Source organism: Homo sapiens, chromosome 5 (assembly GCF_000001405.40).
Source record: "Homo sapiens chromosome 5, GRCh38.p14 Primary Assembly".
NCBI classification, from domain to species: Eukaryota; Metazoa; Chordata; class Mammalia; order Primates; family Hominidae; genus Homo; species Homo sapiens.
Genome location: NC_000005.10, coordinates 80,476,903 through 80,496,642, shown reverse-complemented (window position 1 = coordinate 80,496,642; position 19,740 = coordinate 80,476,903). Strand labels below are relative to the sequence as shown.

Here is a 19,740-nt window from a genome sequence, read left to right as displayed (position 1 = left end):
ATACTGACATTTTGTTAACTAAAGTCCATAGTTTACATTAGAATTCACTCTTGGTATCATACATTTTATAGGTTTTGACAGATGTCTAGGTGTACATCTGAGATAGAAGGTTCAGTTATGGGCCACTGGAATAAAGTGAGTATCACAATAAAGCAAGTCACACAATTTTTGGTTTCCCAGTACATATAAAAGTTATGTTTACACTGTTATACTGTAGCCTATTAGTTGTACAATAGCATTATGTCTAAAAAAATGTGCATACCTTAATTTTAAAATACTTTATTGCTAAAAAGTGTTAACAATCATCTGAGCCTTCCGCTAGCTGTAATCTTTTAACTGGTAGAGGGTCTTGCCTCAATGTTGATGGCTATTGACCAATCAGGGTGGTGGTTGCTGAAGGCTGTGGTGGCTGTGACAATTTCTTACAATAAGGCAATGAAGTTATCGACATCAGTGGATTCTTCCTTTCATGAAAGATCTCTCTGTGGCACACAATGCTGTTTGATAGCATTTTACCCACAGGAGAACTTTCAAAATGAGAGTCAATTCTCTCAAACTCTGCTGCTGTTTTAACAACTAAGTGTATGTAATATTCTTTATCATCTGTGGTCATTTCAACAATGTTCACAGCATCTTCACCAGAAGTAGATTACATCTCAAGAAAATACTGTCTTTGCTCATACATAAGAAGGAACTCCTAGTTCATTAAAGTCTTATCATAAAATTGCGATAATGTAGTCACATCTTCAGGCTCCATTCTAATTCTAGTTCTCTTACTAGTTCTTTTTTTTTTTTTTTTTTTTTTTTTTTTTGAGACGGAGTCTCGCTCTTTCGCCCAGGCTGGAGTGCAGTGTGGCGCATCTCGGCTTACCGCAAGCTCTGCCTCCTGGGTTCATGCCATTCTCCTGCCTCAGCCACCCGAGTGGCTGGGACTACAGGCGTCCGCCACCACGCCCGGCTAATTTTTTGCATTTTTAGTAGAGACGGGGTTTCACTGTGTTAGCCAGGATGGTCTCAATCTCCTGACCTCATGATCCGCCTGCCTCAGCCTCCCAAAGTGCTGGGATTATAGGCATGAGCCGCTGCGCCCTGCCCTCTTTTGCTATTTCTATCACATTTGCAGTTACATCCTCTATTGAAGTATTGCATCCCTCAAAGTCACCCATGAGAGCTGGAATCAACTTCTTCCAAACTCCTGTTAATGTTGATATTTTTACCTTCTCCCATTAATCACAAATCTTCTTGATGGAATCTAGGATGATGACTCTTTGCCCACATCCATCAGAGGAATCACTATCTATGGCAGCTATAGATTTACAAAACATTTCTCAAATAATAAGACTTGTAAGTCAAGATTACCCTTTGATCCACGGGCTGCAGAATAGATGCAAGCATGCAGGAAAACAGCATCAATCTCTTTGCACATCTCCATCAGAGCTCTTGGGTGACCAGGTGCCTTGTCAATCAACAGTAATATCTTGAAAGAAATATTTTTTTTCCTGAGCAGCAGGTCCCCACAGTGGGCTTAAAATATTCTGTAAATCATGCTGTAAACAGACGTGCTGTCATCCAGGCTTTGTTGTTACGTTTCTAGAGCACAGGCAGAGAAGTAGATGTAGCATAATTCCTAAGGACCCTGTGATTTTCAGTATAGTAATGAGCACTGGCTTCCACTTAAAGTCACCAGCTGCATTAGCCCTAACAAGAAAGTCAGCCTGTCTTTTGAAGATTTTAAGCCAAATATTGGCTTTTCCCCTCTAGCAATGAAAGTTCTAATGGCATCTTCTTACAATAGAAGGCTGTTTTATTTACACTGACAATCTATTGTTGGCCCTGCACAGTGGCTCATGCTTGTAGTCCCAGCACTTTGGGAGGCTGAGGTGGGAGGATCACTTGAGCCCAGGAGTTCGAGACCAGCTGGGGCAACATGACGAAATCCCGTCTCTACAAAAAAATACAAAAATTAGTAGGCCGTGGTGGTGTGTGCCTATAGTTCCAGCTACTTGGGGGGCTGAGGTGGGAGGATCGATTGAACCCAGGAGGTCCAGGCTGCAATTAGCCACGATCATGCCACTGCCCTCCAGCCTGTGTTACAGAGGGAGACCCTGTCTTAAAAAAGAAAGAAAGAAAGAAAGAAAGAAAGAAAGAAAGAAAGAAAGAAAGAAAGAAAGAAAGAAAGAAAGAAAAGAAAGAAAGAAAAAGAAAGAAAGACAGAAAGAAAGAAAATCTGCTGTTAGTGCAGCTACTTTCATCAATGATCTTAACTAGATCTTCTGGATCACTTGCTGTAGCTTCTCCATTAGCACCTGCTGCTTCACCTTGAAATTTTTTGTTGTAGAAACAGCCTTTTCCCTTAAACCTCATGAATCAACCTCTGAGAATCTCCAGCTTTTCTTCTGTAGCTTCTGCACTTCTCACAGTCTTCATAAAATTGATGAGAGTTAGGGCCTTACTCTGGATTAGGCTTTGGCTTAAGGGAATGTTGTGGCTGGTTTGATCTATCCAGACCACTCAAACTTTCTCCATATATCGGGGGAACCAGCCCCCAATATTTCAACGTACGTTCTTTTCTATTTTCCCTAAGTGTCAGCTGGTCTGAGAAATAAAGAGAAAGAGTACAAAGAGAGAAATTTTACAGCTGGGTCTCCAGGGGTGACATCACATATTGGTAGGACCGTGATGATGACCCCGAGCCACAAAACCAGCAAGTTTTTATTAGGGATTTTAAAAGGGGAGGGGGTGTATGAACAGGGAGTAGGTCACAAGGATCACATGCTTCAAAGGGCAATTAAGATCACAAGGCAAGGCAAAATTAGAATTACTGATGAGGGTCTATGTCCCGCTGTGCACATATTGTCTTGATAAACATCTTAACAGGAAACAGGGTTTGAGAGCAGAGAACCGGTCTGACTAGAATTTACCAGGCTGGAATTTCCCAATCCTAGTAAGCCTGAGGGTACTGCAGGAGGCCAGGGTGTATTTCAATCCTTATATCAACCGCATAAGACAGACACTCCCAGAGCAGCTGTCTATAGACTTCCCCCAGGAATGCATTCCTTCCCCAGGGTTATTCCTTGCTAGGAAAAGAATTCAGCGATATCTCTCCTACTCGCACATCCATTTATAGGCTTTCTGCAAGAAGGAAAATATGGCTCGATTCTGCCCAACCCCGCAGGCAGTCAAACCTTATGGTTATCTTCCCTATTTCCCTGAAAATTGCTGTTATTCTGTTCTTTTTTAAGGTACACTGATTTCATACTGTTCAAACACACATGTTTTACAATCAGTTTGTACAACAGTGGTCCTGAGGTGACGTACATTCTCAGCTTATGAAGATAACATGATTAAGAGATTAAAGTAAAGCCAGGCATAAGAAATTATAAGCGTATTATTAGGGAAGTGATAAATGTCCATGAAATCTTCACAATTTATGTTCTTCTGCCTCGGCTCCAGCTGGTCCCTTCATTCGGGGTCCCTGACTTCCCACAACATCCATATCAGCAATAGGGCTGTTTTGCTTTCTTATAATTTGTGTGTTCCATGGAGTGGCACTTTGAATTTTCTTCAGGAGCTTTTCCTTTGTATTGACAACTTAGCTGTTTGGCACAAGAGGCCTCTCTCAGCTTTCGAAATGCTTTTCTCACTAAGCTTAATCATTTCTAGCTTTTGATTTTGTTTTTGTTTTTTTTAGAGACAAGTCTCACTCTGTTGCCCAGGCTGGTGTGTAGTGGTGCAATCATAGCTCACTATAATCTGAAACTCATGGGCTCAAGTGATCCTCCTGCCTGGGCATCCCAAGTAGCTAGGACTACAGGTGCATCCCACCACAGCCAGCTAATTTTTAAAATTTTTTGTAGAGACAAGGTCTTGATACGTTGCCCAGGCTGGTCTTGAACTGCCGGCTTCATGTGATCTTCCCACCTCAGCCTCCCAAAGTTCTGGGATTACAGGCATAAGCCACTGTGCCCAGCCCTCTGGCTTTCGATTTTAAGTGAGAAACAGGTGACTCTTCCTTTCACATAAACACTTAGAGCCCATTCTATGGTTATTAACTGGCCTAATTTCAATATTTTTGTGTCTCAGGAAATAGTAAGACCCTAGGAGAGGGAGAGAGACAGGAGTATGGCTGGCTGGTGAAGCAGTCTGAACACACACCATATTTATTTATTTATTTTTTATCCTCGCCAAGCCGGCCAGCATGCACTGCCCAAGCCAGCAAGGCTCACACACCACATTTACAGATTAAGTTTGACTTTGTGGTGCCCCAAAACAATTATTATAGTAGTATTTGAAGATCACTGATCACAGATCACCATAATAAATATAATAATTTTAAAATTTGAAATATTGCAAGAATTCCCAAAATGTGACAGACACAAAGTGAACACATGCTATTGAAAAATACAGCACCAACAGACTTGCTCAATACAAGGTTGCTACAAACCTTCAATTTGTGGGAAAAAAAAAAAGGATTATCTGCAAAGCACAATAAAGTGAAGTACAATAAAACAAGGAATGCTTGTACAATGGCATGTATCCACCACTACAATATCATACGGAATCACAGTGTTGCTGCTCCAAACCTCTGTGCTCCCTCTATTTATCCCAACCTCCTTCCCTGTGCGACCTGTGGCTGTTCTCCAGCTACCATAGCAGAGTTGATTAGTTGGAACATAAATTTATGCCTTGCAAAGCCCAAAATTTAATTTCTGGTTCTTTACAGAAAAAGTTTGCTGACCACTAAGATATGGAAACAACCTAAGCACCATCAGCGGGTAAATGGATAAAGAAAATGTGGTATAGATACACAATGGGGTACTATTCAGCCTTAAAAAGGAAAATTCTGTCATCTTCGACAAACGAAGAAACCTGGAGGGCAGTATGCTAAGTGAAATAAGCCAGGTACGGAAAGAAAAATACTGCACAGTCTCACATTTGGGACATCAAAAAGTAGAGCTCTAGGAGTAGAAAGCAGAATAGTGGTTACCAGAGGCTAGGGATGCAGCCAGGGCAATTGGATGGGAGGGGGATATGTCAGTCAAAGGGTGCAAAGTTCCGGTTAGACAGGAGGAATAAGTTCCCAAGATCTATTGCACAGCAATGGTGACTATAGTTAGTAATTCCAGGCATGCTGGCTCACAACTGTAACTCCAGCACTTTGGGAGGCTGAGGCGGAAGGACTGCTTAAGCTCAGTAGTTCGAGACCAGCCTGGGCAATGAAGCAAGACCTTGTCTCTACCACTAAAACTAACAATAATAATAACCCAGGCATGGTGGTGTGTGCCTGTAGTCCCTGCTATTCAGGAGGCTGAGGCAGGAGGATCACTTGAGCCCAGGAGGTCAAGGCTGCAGTGAGCCATGATTGCACCACTGCACTCCAGCCTGGGTGACAGAGCGAGACCCTGTCTCAATGATAATAATAATAATAATAATAATAATAGTGTATTATATATTTTGAACTTCTTAAATGAGTAGATTTTAAATGTTCTCATTACAAAGAAATGATAAGTATGTGAGGTGATGGATATATTAATTAGCCTGACTTAATCATTCTACCATGTATACATGTATCATAACATCACATTGTACCTCGCAAATATGCAATTATTATTTGTCAATTAAAAATAAAATTAAAAAAGAAAGTTTGCTATTTGCTGACCCCTGGACTAGACAATCATTAAGGTTCCTTCCAGTTTCCAAAAGTGACTACCAGAATTGACTTACCATTAAAGACAATGTACCATATGTCCACACAAAAACTTGTACACAAATGTTCACAGTAGCATTATTCACTATACCCAAAAGATGGAAACAACTCAAATGTCCATCAACTAATGAGTGGATAAACAAAATGTGGTGTTTCATGCAATTCCTTTTTTGGCCATAAAAAGGAATGAAGTATTGAAACATGCTACAAGATGGATGAATCTTGAAAACACTATGATAAGTGGAAGAAGCTAGACATAAGAGGGTCTATATTGGATGATTCCATTTATATGAAACATCCAGAACAGGCAAATTCATAGAGACAGAAAATAGAAGAATAGCAGTTGTGGATGTTAAAGGGTGGGGGATGGGGAAGTGTTTCTTTTTGTAAGGTGAAGATGTTTTAAAATTAATTGTGGTAATTGTTGCACAAGTCTGTGAATAAGCTAAAATTAAATAAATAAGCTAAAACCACTGAATTATACTCTTTAAATAAGTTGTATATTAATAGTATGCAAATTGTACATCAGTAAGGATTTTGAAGAATTTATTAATTTTTTTAAGGCTCTGGCTCTGTTGCCCAGGCTGGCATGTTCTTGGTTCACTGCAGCCTCTCCGGCTTAAGCGATTCTCCCGCCTCAGTCTCCTCCTGAGTGGCTGGGTCCACAGGTATGTGCCACCACCATACCTGGCTAATTTATTTGTTTTCTTTTGGAGAGATAAGGCCTCCCTGTGTTGCCCAGGCTGATCCAAACTCCAGGGCTCAAGCGATCCTCCTGCCTTTCAAAGTGTTCAGATTACAGGCGTAAACCACCACGCCCGGCCAGGACGGAACTTTTCACTATACATCCTATTGTGCCTTTTGAACTTTTTTATGTTGAGAATGTGTGTGTGTGTGTGTGTGTGTGTGTGTGTGTAAGGGGGAAAAATGACATATAACGGAAGAATCTGGTTAAGAATTAGTTTTATCAATAACTCGGTAATGAGAAGAAATTTTTGTTTTTGTTTTTGTTTTGAGACAGTTTCTCTCTGTTGCTCAGGCTGGAGTGCAGTGGCGCAATCTTGGCTCACCGCAAGCTCCGCCTCCCGGGTTCACGCCATTCTGCTGCCTCAGCCTCCTTAGTAGTTGAGACTACAGGCGCCGCCACCACGCCCGGCTAATTATTTTGGATTTTTAGTAGAGACGAGGTTTCACTGTGTTAGCCAGGATGGTCTTGATCTCCTGACCTCGTGATCCGCCCACCTCGGCCTCCCAAAGTGCTGGGATTACGGGCGTGAGTCACCGCGCCCGGCCCAAAAATTTGTTTTTTAAAAAATGGCATTTGTCAGCAATTGGACATTTTTCACTTGTGCACACATTTTATTCCAAGATTTTGTAAACCTTGCATCGATTCAGAAGAGAATCTGGATTTATACAGCCTGTGAGTGAGAATGGTGTAAGTCTTGAGTGTGAGCTTTGTCCCAGATTTGTTTGGATTCTTAGGAAAACTAGGCATTAAAAGGATTTATACTGAGAAGAGCACAAGGGTTAAAAAAGGAAAACTCTGGTCTGAAAAAATGTTCTACGGAGGTTTAGCACAGATCTTAAAAAAGAGAGAGAGAAAAAAGTTCACATCCTTTGATCCAGTAATTTCAGTTACAAGAATCGTGTCCAGGATAAAAACAAACCAAAAACATAACTGAGGAAGAACAATGCAAAAATGTTCATTACAGAATGAATTCTAACAAAACAAAACAAAACAGGAAACGACTGATTAACGTTCAACATTAGGAGACTGGTTAATTACAATATAATTGTATACAATATAATTGTATAAAACACTTCAGTCATTCAAAATTATGTTTATAAAAACCTTGGTGACATGGGATAGTATAAGATGCAGGATTTTAAAAATTATGTTTACCATGACCTTAACTCTATTTTTAAGAGTCAGGGTTGTTAGAAAATACCAAAAAGTTAGTAGTGGTGCCTGTGGGTATCAGCATTTGGGGGATTTTTTTTTCCTATTTCCCTATACTAATATACTTTATAAATGTTCTATAATGGCATTTATCAGGACCTGGACATTTTTCGCTTACACACACATTTTATTCCAAGATTCTGTAAACTGTGCATCGATTCAGAAGAGAACCTGTATTTATACAGCCTGCTAGTCAGAATGGTGAAAGCGTGTATTATTTTTACAATTAGGGAAAAAAATCTAAACTGAAGAAAGAACGCGTCACTGACGTTGTCTCATGCCACTACTTAAGTTTACAGAAAAGATACTGTAACCTTCAAGAGCGGAACTGCTGTCCCGCGAGTTGAAGCACCTGATTCCAAGGGGAATCAAGCGAGCCGCACACTCTGCCAGCTTTCCAGGCAGCGCGCTCAGCAGCGGGACTATGCCGGGCCCGGCCCAGTCCGCATTCCCAAACCTCCCCCAGCTTTCAAAGAGGAACCTACTGACCCAGACCGCCCCCATACGGTCGGCTGAAATTAAGGATTAGGGAAACGTCACATTCCTTTCTTTCCAACCCAGACCTCAAAAGACACTGACCCTGCCATTCTCGACCTCCCCTAACGCCTGTCCCTTAGAGCCCACCCGGCAAACCAAGGTCCTTGCCAGGCGATCGCGGGCGCGCCCCGAGTGCAGAGCGGGCTCCAAGCCCAGCCGCCCGGTTCTGCGCGGCGCGCTCCCAGGTCCCTAGCAAGGAAGACCGCGGGAGCCCGCAAAGGGAGGGTACGGCCGGCGGAGCCTCTCAAAGCGCCCCACCTCCAGGCAGAGGCCGCGCGCTCGGCGCTTACCTGGGCCTCCAGCGGATGCTGCCATGGTGACGACGCCCGCCGTCCGCGCAGGCGCCCAGGCTGGCGCCCCTGCTAACCGGGCACTGGTGGCAGGGAAATTCGACTCCACAAACCACAGGCCTCGGCGGGGGAAGAGCCCGGCGGGCGCCAGCGAAGCGGAACCAAACGGAGCCGCGGCACGCAGGCGCAAAGGCTGGCGTTCGAGGTTCGTTTACGCGCCGCTTCGCCGTGCAGGTGGTGGCGAAGCGCTCCTCCGAAAGGTTTCGGAAGCTGGTGGTAGCTCTGAAGATAACGCTGCGTTAGGGCATACTGCGGCGGAGGATGGAACTCCGATTGAAAGCAGTTGCTGGAGTGGAGCACGAATTTCAACAGTTGGGTATATTTTCTTTTAAATGTTAGTAATATCCTAAAAGGGTGTGGAATCATTACTGATAAAAATCAGTGTTTCTGGCCGGGCACGGTGGCTCAGGCCTGTACTCCCAGCACTTTGGGAGGTCGAGGTGGGCGGATCACTTGAGGTCAGGAATTCGAGACCATCCTGGCCAACATGGTTAAAACCCGTCCTTACTGAAAATTTAAAAAATTATCCTGGCGTGGTGGCGCGCGCCTGTAATCCCAGCTACTCGGGAGGCTGAGGCACAAGAATGGCTTGAACCGGAGAGGTGGAGGTTGCAGAGAGCCGAGATCGCTCCACTGCGCTCCGGTCTGTGCGATAGAGCTAGACTGTCAAATAAATAAATAAATAAATAAATAAGTTTTTGTACAAAGTTACCGAGCTGATAACTTGAAGTTTTCTCTCCCCTTCTGTCTCTCTACCAGTGTTCACTCAGAAAACGCTCTCAGCAACTGGGTCCTCCCATCCACTGTCTTTCTAGCCCTCCTTAACTCATTACTTTTTGAAGCCAAACTAGTGATCAGAATTAACAACAAAGCTCTGCCATTTTCAGCTTCTGTGACCAAAAAACTCAATCTGCCAGTGGTAGAGTTAGGATAACTAACATCACCTGACACGTAATACAAAGGGGAGTTATTCTTGCCCAGCCTTTCAGATAAAATATTTTTCATCACTCCAAAGCAATCACTCTCCATTTACCCCCTTCCTACCCCCAGGCAACAACTCATCTACTTTCTGTCTCATGAATTTGCCTATTCTGGAATTTCATGTAAATAGAATCACAGACTGTATGTATGATCTTTGTAACTGGCTTCTTTCACTTAGCATGTTTTCAAAATTCACCCATGTTTTAGCATGTATCAGTACTTCCTTCCTTCTTATGCTGGAATAAATTCCAGTTTGTAAATACCACATTTTATGTGTGTCCATTCAACAGCTGAAGGACATTCGGGTTGTTTCTACATTTTGTCTTTTATGAATGCTGCTGCTGTGAACATTCATGGACAAGTTTTGTGTGGACGTATATGAATACATTCCTGTGTGCATATCTGTGTACATACCTAGGAGTGGAACTACTTGTTCATATAGTAACTGTTTAACTGTGTGAGGAACTGCCAGTTTTGCAAATCAGCTGTACCATCTTTCATTCCCACCAGCAATGTATGAAGATTCCAATTTCCCCACATCCTTACCAGTCAGTACTTGTTGTTATGTTTTTTAAATTATAGCCATCCTAGTAGATATGAAGTACTACCTCATTATCTTGATTTGTAGTTCCCTACTAATAATATTGAGCATATTTTCAGGTGCTATCGGTCATTTATATATTTCCTTTGGAGAAATGTCTTCTCAAATCCTGTGCTCATTTCAATTGTGAGAATTCTTTATATAGTCTCAATACAAGTCCCTTAACAGGTAATTTGCAAATATTTGCAATATTTTCTCCCGTTGTGCAGATTGTCTTTTCACTTTCTTGATGGCATTGATTGCAGTACAGGTCTTTTTTAAAAAACTTGTTTTTCTTTTTTTTTAGATGAAGTCTCACTCTGTTCCCCCAGGCTGGAGTGCAGTGGCACGATCTCGGCTCACTGCAACCTCCACCTCCCGGGTTCAAGCGATTCTCCTGCCTCAGCCTCCTGAGTAGCTGGGATTACAAGCACGCACCACCACGCCTGGCTAATTTTTGTATTTTTAGTAGAGACAGGATTTCACCATGTTGGCCAGGCTGGTCTCGAACTTCTGACCTCAAGTGATCCACCCGCCTCAGCCTCCCAAAGTGCTGGGATTACAGGCGTGAGCCACTGTGCCCGGCTTTTTTTTTTTTTCATTTTTAAAATTTTTAACTTCAGGGGTCCAAGTGCAGGTTTGTTACACAGGTAAACTGTATCATAGGGGTTTGTTGTACAGGTTGTTTCATCACCCAGGTATTAATCCTAGTACCCATTCATTGTTTCTCCTGCTCTCCCTCCTCCCACCCTCCACCCTCCAAAAGTCCCAGTGTGTTGTTCCCCACTCTGTGTCCATGTGTCTCATCATTTAGCTCCCACTTATAAGTAACAGCATGCAGTATTTGGTTTCTGTTCCTGCATCAGTTTGCTAAGTTTTTATGACATATTGGTCACAATATTACAATATTTTCATATATTTTACAATAACTGACTCAAAATTCCTCTTCACTGTCCTTATTTTTAGAGCCGCATGTTGAAGTGTGAGGCGTGAAAGGGTATGTCTGATATTTGCTTTAAAATGCTCCAGCAAAGAAATTAAGGGATGGATGAAGCAAAAGAGGTAAGTCTTGATAGTGTTGACTCAGAGGATTGTTGTAGGCTGGGTATATAGATTTTCATCCTACTATTTCCTTTACTTCTGAGTGTTTGGAAATTTTATGGTAAAAATAAGTCTAATTACTTTTTTGGCACAAAAAAGGTTTTGTAAGTTAAGGGTACATGCTGCACTGGGGAAAGAATATAACGATTAGAATGTGAGACACAGGCCCCAACTTGAGTCTGGGGCTGCTTTTGGTGACATCTAAACATGAATAAAGGCCAGGCATGGTGGCTCACACATGTAATCCCAGTACTTTGGGAGGCTGAGGCAGGAGGAGACCAGGACTTTGAGACCAGCCTGGACAACATAGTGAGACCCATCTCTACGAAAAAATAAAAAACAAGCCAGGTGTGTCGGCATGTGCCTGTAGTATCAGCTAATCAGGAGGCTAAGGTGGGAGGATTGCTTGAGCCCAGGAACTCAAGGCTGCAGTGAGCCATGATCACACCACTGCATTCCACCTGGGCCGCAGAGTGAGACTCTGTCTCAAAATCAAAACAAAGCACTGCATGAATACAGCTTACCTCATTTTCAGAGTCCTAATAGCTAGAAAGTTTTCCCTCAAATTCCAATTTAGTTTCTAGCTGTGTGACTTTGGACAGATTACTCTCTCTCTGAACTTGGTATCTAGTCTATGAAATGCAATAATAAATCACAGGGGAACTGGGTGCAGTGGCACGCACTTGTAGGCTCAGCTACCCAGGAGGCTGAGGCAGGAGGATGGGTTAAGAGCCTAAGTTCAAGGCTGTAGTGTGCCATGACTGTGCCTGTGAATAGCCACTGCACCCTAGGCCTGGGCAATACAATGAGACCCTGTCTCATAAATAAATAAATAAATAAATAAATTTAAAAATAAATTACAGGGTAATATTCCTTGTTCTGAAGTTTGCTTTGTCTGATAGCAAAATAACCACTCCAGCTTTGTCCTTTTCTTCTTCTTTTTAGTGTTTGCATGGAATATCTTTTTCCATCCTTTTACTTTTTAACCTGCATGTACCATTGTATCATAAGTGGCTTGTATAGATAGCATATAAATTAGGTTTTAAAAAAATCCATCTGGCCAGGCATGGTGGCTCATGCCTGTAATTCCAGTCCTTTGGGAGGCCAAGACAGGCAGATCAGTTGAGGACAGGAGTTCAAGACTATCCTGGACAAAATGGTGAAACTCCATCTCTAATAAAAACAAAGAAAAAATTAGCCAGATGTGGACATGCCTGTAATCCCAGCTACTCAGGAGGCTGAAGCAGGAGAATCACTTGAACCTGGGAGGTGGAGGTTACAGTGAGCCGGGATTGTGCCACTGCACTCCAGCCTGGGTGACAGAATAAATGAGACTTGATCCAAAAAAAAAAAAAAAAATCAATTGCCATATTTAGACCATTTACATTTAATGTAATTGTTATTTATTTTTATTTTTAGGGACAGGGTCTTGCTCAGTGGCCCAGGCTGGAGTACAGCGGTATGATCACAGCTCACTGCAGCCTCAAACTACTGGGCTCAAATGATCTCCCACCTCAGCCTCCTGAGTAGCCAGGACTATAGGCATGCACTACCATGGTTGGCTAATTCTTTTAAGTTTTATGTAGATACGGGGCCTCACTACATTGCCCAGTCTGATCTTGAACTCCTGGCCTCAAGTGATCTTCCTGCTTCAGCCTCCTAAAGTGTTGGGATTATGGGCATTAGCCACCACACCTGGCCTAGTGTAATTTTTGATACAGCTGGATTTAGGTCTACCATTTTAGCATTAATTTTTCTTGTTGATCCCTTATTTCTTTTACACTTGTTTTCCTTGCTGGCTTTATTTTGAATTATTTAAAATTCCACTTTATATGTCGGCTTTTTAAACATATCTCCTTGCATAGTTTTTTAAAATGGTTGCTCTAGAGATGATCATTACATACCAAACTTTTTGTAACCTACTATAATGTTTTACCACTTTAAGTGAAATTTAGAAAACTTACCATATAGGTTCTGTCACTGTCCCCTTGGTTAGTATGCAGTTTTCATCTGTATTACATCTATATGCATTGAAAATCCCAAAAGATGATGTTACAATTTTTTTATTTCAGCAGTTACATATATTTTAACAAACATGTAAGTCTATTTGGTTTATCCAGAGATTTGCCATTTTGGTTGCTCTTCCTTCTTTGCAATCATTTTCCTTCCCCATGAACTTCCTTTACCATTTCTGTTAAAGGAGGACTACTAGCAATGAATTATTTTAGCTTTCCTTCTTCTGACAATGTCTTTATTTCAGCCAGGTATGGTGGCTCATGCCTCTAATCTCAGCACTTTGGGAGGCCGAAGCAGGCAGATCACCTGAGGTCAGGAGTTTGAGACCATCCTGACCAACATGGTGAAACTCGTCTCTACTACAAACATAAAAAAATTAGCTGGGCGTGGTACCACGCACCTGTAATCCCAGCTACTCCTCTGGAGGCTCAGACAGGAGAACTGCTTGAACCGGGAGGCGGAGGTTGCAGTGAGCTGAGATCGCACCAATCCATTCCAGCCTGGGCAACAGAGTGAGACTCCATCTCATAAAAAAAAAAAAAGTAAAGAAAAAAAAGAAAATGTCTTTATTTCATTTTCTTTCCTAAAGAATATATTTGCTGGATAAAGGATTCTGTGTTGACAGTTTTGTTGCTTTTTAAAAGCACTTTATAAATGTTGCTCCATGGTTTCTGATGAGAAATCTGCCATCACTGAAATCTTTGGTTCTCCTATATACAAAGTGTTGTTTTCTTCCAGTTGTTTTCAAAGTATTTTCTTTACAGTTGGTTTCATCACTTTGATTATGACGTGCCTGGGTGTGGTTTTCCTTTTTGGGATTTGCTGTGCCAGCAGACCGGCTTTAAATAGAATGCTATGTAAATGTATGTGAATATTTGTTTTTTGCCAGATGTTTGGAAGTTTTTAGCTATTATTTCTTCAGATATTTTTTTCTTCCAATTGTTCTTTCTGGGCTCCTAAGACATGAATATTAGACTGTTTCATATTGTCCCACAGATCCCCAAAGGTCTTCTCATTTTTTTCACTTTTTTCTCTGTCATTCAGACTAGATAATTTCTGCTCATGTATCTTCAAATTTACTGACTCTTCCCTCAGTCATCTTCATTGTGTTGAGACCTTCCAGTAAATTTTGTTATTGTATTTTCAGTTCTACAATTTCCACTTGTTTCTTTTTATAGCTTCTATGCTGAGACTTTTAGCTTTCCATTTATTTCAACAGTGTTTCCCTTTATATATTTCCTTTGGAGAAATGTCTTCTTTGTGTAGCATGATTAAAATAACTAGTTTAACGGCCAGGTGTGCTGGCTTATGCCTGTAATCCCAGCACTTTGGGAGGCCCAGGCAGGCAGATCACTTGAGGTCAGGAGTTTGAGACCAGCCTGGCCAACGTGGTGAAACTCTGTCTCTATTAAAAATACAAAAAATTATCTAGGCGTGGTGGTACACACCTGTAGTCACAGCTACTCAGGAGGCTGAGACAGGAGAATCACTTGCACCCTGGGGGTGGAGGTTGCAGTGAGCCAAGATTGTATCACTGCACTCTAGCCTGGGTGATAGAGACTGTCTCAAAAATAAATAAAAAAAATAAAATAACTAGTTTTAAGTCTTTTTCTGATAATTCTGACATTTGGGTAACCTTAGAGTTGGCTCTTGTTCATTGTCTTTTCCCTAGAGAGTTGCTTAGGTTTCACAAGTTCTTTGTCCAATCATTTTGGGTTGTTTCTGGGATATATTTGGAATATTATGATATTCTCTATCCTGTTTAAATCTTCATAAGAATGTTTTTGTTTTGTTTTGTTTTAGCAGACCATCAATTCAGTTAAGTTTCAGAGCACACATCCTGGCCACTTTTTTTGGTGGCTGTGGTTCCAATGTTAGTTTTCACTGCCTTTGTTAAGCTGTTCTTTGCCCCAGTTGTGCACCATCTAGTGGCCAATCTGAAACTTGGACAGTGGCCTACACTGTAATTCAGTGTTCAGAACCTTTGCTCAGCTGCTTCTGGTTAGTTTCACACATACACAGCTTGTGAGATGATCCCAGGATTTTATTGACAGATTTAAGGGTTCCTTTTCTTCAGTTCCCTCCTATTTGTGATCTTACCTATACTCTGGTTTCTAGAACCCCATTCTTGGTTTTTGGCTAGAAAGTCAGGGCGTTAGCCTCCCCATTGCCAGTGTTCTGCCCTGCAATGTCTGCCACTAGTGCACCAGGGGGAAGAGAAGAGTGATACCTCTTTACTGCTGCGGGATTGATGTAGAGCAAGGAAAGTCCAGAAGGTTCCAAGTCATTACCCATGGTTCTCCTGGTGGGGCGGTGGGTCTTACTGCATCTTTCCTGAGGCTCTCTTAGAATACTGCAATTAAATTAAAAAGGGTTTTGTCCCATAGCCTCCAACCTCCTTTCTGGTCCTCTGACTAGAAACAGCAAATTGTTCCTTGGACTATTTTTCTCTCTGTCAGCTAGCATTTCCAGTTTTCCTGTTAAATGTCTTTTTTCTTTTTCCTTTTTTTTGAGACAAGGTTTTGCTCTGTTGCACGATCACAGCTCACTGGAGCCTTAACCTCCTGGGCTCAAGTGATCCTCCCACCTCAGCCCCCGTGAAGCTGGGACCACAAGTATGAGCCACCACACCTGGCAAAATTTTTTTAATTTTGCAGAGACAGTGTCTCCCTGTGTTGCTCACTCTGGTCTCAACCTGAGCTCGAGTGATCCTCCTGCCTTGGCCTCCCAAAGTGCTCGATTACAGGTGTGAGCCACTGCACCTGGCCTTATTATGTGTCTATGTGTGGATTTTCTAGTTTATTCTGTTTGGGATTTGTCTGGCTTCTAGAATGTGTGGGGTCATGTCTTTCATCAGTTTTTAAAATTCTGCATTCTATCTAAGTATTTGCTCTGTCCTATTCTTGCCTCTCCTCTCACAGCTAATGAAGCACTTAGGATTTTTCACTGTATTCTCTACAGGTCTTCTGTTTTTTTTTCCAGCTGTTTCTCCCATGGTGCACTGTGAATAGTTTCTCCTGAGTTATCTTCCAGTTTATAAACTACCCCAATTGGCTACATTCTATTACATCTATTTACTGAGTTTTAAAGTGCAGTTTTTATGTATATTCTTGTAATGTTTATATTCAGTTCTTTTCCAGATTAGCTCCACAACTTTTTATCGTATAGTTTCCCATTTCCTGCAAGTACATTCACACACCTTATTTCCTTAAACAAAGAAAACAAATCTAATACCTATATCTGTGAGTTTGTTTTCATTGCTTCAAGTAATTCTTGCCTCTGGAATCTAGTTTCCTTATATGACTACTTTTTACTATGTGTTACTAGACATATTTGAAAAGTAATTTGAGGCCTACAATGAAATTACTTTTCCATGAAAAGTATTTACATTTTATTTTCTCTGTCACCTGGAGGCATTACTAGTGTGGGAACACCTTAAAGGAAGCTCAGTGCTTAAGATTCTTTAGATCACTGGGGCAATTCTAAACTTGCCTGTTCTTTTACATTGGTTCTTCCACCTCTGATTCATTATCATCCTAAAGGTGAAAGTATTTGGGAGTCTCAGCCTATTGTGTGGAGGGTCTCCTGTTAGGTTCATCACCTTATATGGGCCCTGAACTTTAATTTCTGTCCCCCTCACTCATAAGGTTGTCAGAGTAAGGGTACATGCTTGCTTCTCTTATTCTCTTTACTTTTGGACTTGGCATTCCTTATTGTCTGGAAAATCTCTTTGATGTTTTAAGATTATTCTTGTATTTTAATCAGGAATTGTTTTCAACAGGAACATGATGTAAATATCCTAGCATGCAATTTTCAGAAACAAGTAGTTTCCCACAATTGAATCTTTGCTCCTACAGGGCCAAATCCTACTCTTTCTCTTGGCATGCTCTGCACTTAAGCGCATACTACTTGTGGCATGGAATCCATAAATGTTGATAAAGAACTACGCCTAATTCTGTCAGAACAATTAATCATTTTTAGAAATTTTTGCTTAGAAACCTGGTAAAGTGCTCTGCATGTAGCAAGTATACGAACACACAAAGTTTGTTGAATAGCTGCATAAAACAAATGGGCTAGATTTTACTTCATATTTCAAAATTCAGAGAAAGAGAGTAGTATTAAAAGACATAAGCCAAAAATAGATCATTGCAGACTGAGTACAAAGAACCATTCTATTTCTTCTCTTAAAAAATTAAAATTTCAAATTAAGTACCAATGACCAAATAAGTAACAAACACATTCAGAAACATACTATATGTCTACAAAGAATACTTCAAAATGTGCCTCCAAACTTCAGGCACATAATTCCAATTTTTATTGAATATAGAGATTTTATGAAAACAAATCCAAAGCTGTCCCATCATGGAACAGCCCTCTACCATTTGGTTATTTTAAGACTGTTCAATTACTTACATGGCAGAATACATACACTATATTTAGAAAACATAAATTGGGTTTGATATGCAATTGTTTTCATCTTACACCATTTCAATAAATTTCACAAATTATAACAGGTTGCCATTTTATTGAATATCTGCGACACTTTACATTGTTCAGGAAGTAGCTACTTCCAGAAGGCTGATATTCTCCTCCAAATTGTCTTTGGCTAAGTACTACAGATGTGATTCAGTCCAAACTATATGCCCAAACTGATTAAAATTCTCAGTCTCTCCTAGCTTGAGACCTCAGATCCTGAGTTATAACTTTGACTTGATCTTCAAGTTGAGATGCTTCATAAATATTTTTCTTAAAACAGGGCTATTTAACATAATTTCTTTTTCTTGAAATATATGAGTGTTTTTGATACAAAAACATATATTACACATGAGAATGTTTAAAGCATCAAAATAATGATTAAATTTTTTACATAACTTAAATGACAGGACTACAATATGCCCCCCACTTTTTTGCTGTTTGAAGTAAAGAGGAAAGCTCTGTAACAATTTCAAATACATAGGATTTAACTTATGTTAATATCCTGTTATAAAAAATAACTACCATATAAAGAATTTAAAATATGCAAAAGTAATTAGTTCATTTAAATTTATACTTATACACTGGTGTCAATGAAAATATGCGAAGTTGCCAAGAAATTTCTAAGGATTAAAGTGGAAGTAAAAAAACCTGTTTCAGGCTTCATTTATTGCTACATAATGACTACTTCAAGGGTCATCTGGCCCGTCGTCAGTCACTCTTAGAAGTGGTAAATACAGTGGTATAGTTTGGAAGGAAAGGAGGAAAAAAATAATGCATTGTGATACAAAAATATTACCTACATATAAATTATTAAAGATTTATAAAACATTCAGAATATGTTCTTGCTATAAAAACAATATACTTAAATATAGAAGCAAAAAGTCCTGAAGCACCCGCAATTATTTTAATATCCATTTAATCAGGGAAAACTATATATGTGGATATATAATACATACATATGTAATAATTTGAGAAGAAAAAAGGCAAAATTCTGATTATAATCCAAAAAGAGTTTATCTAATTATGGAGGTAGGTCTCCACTCCAATTATACAAATAAGTTATCAGTTTTATTCAAAGAATTATAAGTCTAAGACCTCAAAACTGGTTTTTGTGCCACTGAAATACAATTTGACAGACTTTAGAAACCAGTATTCTAACTGGCATATACACAAAGCAGATATTTCCTTCATAAGGTTACATCTGAAAAGAGCCTTCATTAAAATCATTATTGGCATAAAGAGGTATACCTAAGTGCAGATACTTTGGCTTAGCATTTAAATAACACAGTAAATGCTATAAATTTCTTAAAAGAAATCCTTGTCTTTTTAGTACTTAAATTAATTGTAAAGCTACAGAAAGTATGGATCTCTTAAATTTTTAGATATTTAAATATTGTGCTAATGATTTGAAAAGATCATTCCTGCCTAAAGAGCAAAGCTTATGTGTTTCAAAAATCAGACATATTTATACTTTTAGTGTTTGTGGCATTTCAGCTTTAGTGCTGGAGTTAGTTTTAACAAATTAGGTTGCAATATGTAATATGGCACATTCTTTCACTAAAAAAGATGTTCTATAATGAAAAACACTAATTCTATTTCTAATGGTAAACTAGAGTTGGAGGTCCCACCATGGATCACAGGTATCAGAGCACTATCAAGATCATTTAGATAATGCTGAGGCAGAAGTTGGCCTTCAGATCCTGCCTGAAATTCAACCTAGAAAAAAAAAAAATTCTTGATAAGAAAATGAGCAATCTTGTTTAACTCGGAATGTGAATATAAAATAAGTGAAATATTTTAAAATACAGTTCAAGCATGTTAAATAAAATATTTGATATATTTATAAAAAAATTCTACATTCTCCTGTATCTTTTATCTGTCTACTACATAAATTATAATTGTTCCTCCTCATATATCATAAAGATAAAATTGCCACTATGTCATACTTTACGTTTCCTCTAAATGAACACATAAACAAATTAGAGGGATGAGGCTTTGAATAACTGCCGACATTACTTAAATTAAAAACCCC

At 40.1% G+C, this 19,740-nt stretch overlaps 2 protein-coding genes and 1 long non-coding RNA gene across 16 annotated transcripts in view, besides 5 other annotated features; 1 reads left to right on the top strand and 2 right to left on the bottom strand.

Moving 5' to 3' along the window:
* Positions 1–8,543, bottom strand: part of FAM151B (family with sequence similarity 151 member B) — a 54,464-nt gene extending 45,921 nt beyond the window's left edge. For 2 of the 3 annotated variants that reach the window (NM_205548.3, XM_011543235.3), the window contains exon 1: positions 8,495–8,543. In NM_205548.3, coding sequence (NP_991111.2) covers positions 8,495–8,519 — 25 coding nt within the window. In that variant the 5' untranslated portion in view covers positions 8,520–8,543. Of the gene's footprint in view, positions 1–1,359; positions 1,907–8,494 lie in introns of those variants that run through there. The other variant, XM_011543234.3, reaches the window with a different exon arrangement.
* Positions 2,533–3,119: an enhancer, noted in NCBI's record as "OCT4-NANOG hESC enhancer chr5:79789343-79789929 (GRCh37/hg19 assembly coordinates)". NCBI's record gives its function as "activates a minimal SCP1, AML or CMV promoter by ChIP-STARR-seq in primed H9 embryonic stem cells {active_cell/tissue: H9 hESC(primed)}" and the evidence as "EXISTENCE:reporter gene assay evidence [ECO:0000049][PMID:30033119]".
* Positions 7,938–8,437: an enhancer, noted in NCBI's record as "H3K27ac hESC enhancer chr5:79784025-79784524 (GRCh37/hg19 assembly coordinates)". NCBI's record gives its function as "activates a minimal SCP1, AML or CMV promoter by ChIP-STARR-seq in naive H9 embryonic stem cells {active_cell/tissue: H9 hESC(naive)}" and the evidence as "EXISTENCE:reporter gene assay evidence [ECO:0000049][PMID:30033119]".
* Positions 7,979–8,273: a silencer, noted in NCBI's record as "tiled region #17; K562 Repressive DNase unmatched - State 4:PromP". NCBI's record gives its function as "represses a minimal TATA promoter and a strong SV40 promoter by Sharpr-MPRA in K562 cells {active_cell/tissue: K562}" and the evidence as "EXISTENCE:reporter gene assay evidence [ECO:0000049][PMID:27701403]".
* Positions 8,438–8,939: an enhancer, noted in NCBI's record as "H3K27ac hESC enhancer chr5:79783523-79784024 (GRCh37/hg19 assembly coordinates)". NCBI's record gives its function as "activates a minimal SCP1, AML or CMV promoter by ChIP-STARR-seq in naive H9 embryonic stem cells {active_cell/tissue: H9 hESC(naive)}" and the evidence as "EXISTENCE:reporter gene assay evidence [ECO:0000049][PMID:30033119]".
* FAM151B-DT (FAM151B divergent transcript) lies at positions 8,697–13,843 on the top strand. Its single transcript, NR_172938.1, has 3 exons — positions 8,697–8,865; positions 11,082–11,177; positions 13,477–13,843. It is a non-coding gene; the product is annotated as an FAM151B divergent transcript (long non-coding RNA).
* The window catches only part of ZFYVE16 (zinc finger FYVE-type containing 16), a 75,770-nt gene continuing 69,293 nt past the window's right edge, over positions 13,264–19,740 (bottom strand). For all 12 annotated transcript variants that reach the window (NR_146172.2, NR_146174.2, NR_146173.2 and 9 more), the window contains one exon: positions 13,264–19,424. Coding sequence is in view for 9 of the 12 variants with exons in the window: in XM_017010092.3 (XP_016865581.1) it covers positions 19,266–19,424 (159 nt within the window). In the remaining 3 variants the exon portion in view is untranslated. The remainder of the gene's footprint in view (positions 19,425–19,740) is intronic.
* Positions 15,076–15,185: a silencer, noted in NCBI's record as "silent region_16139". NCBI's record gives its function as "represses an Ori minimal core promoter by ATAC-STARR-seq in GM12878 lymphoblastoid cells {active_cell/tissue: GM12878}" and the evidence as "EXISTENCE:reporter gene assay evidence [ECO:0000049][PMID:35858748]".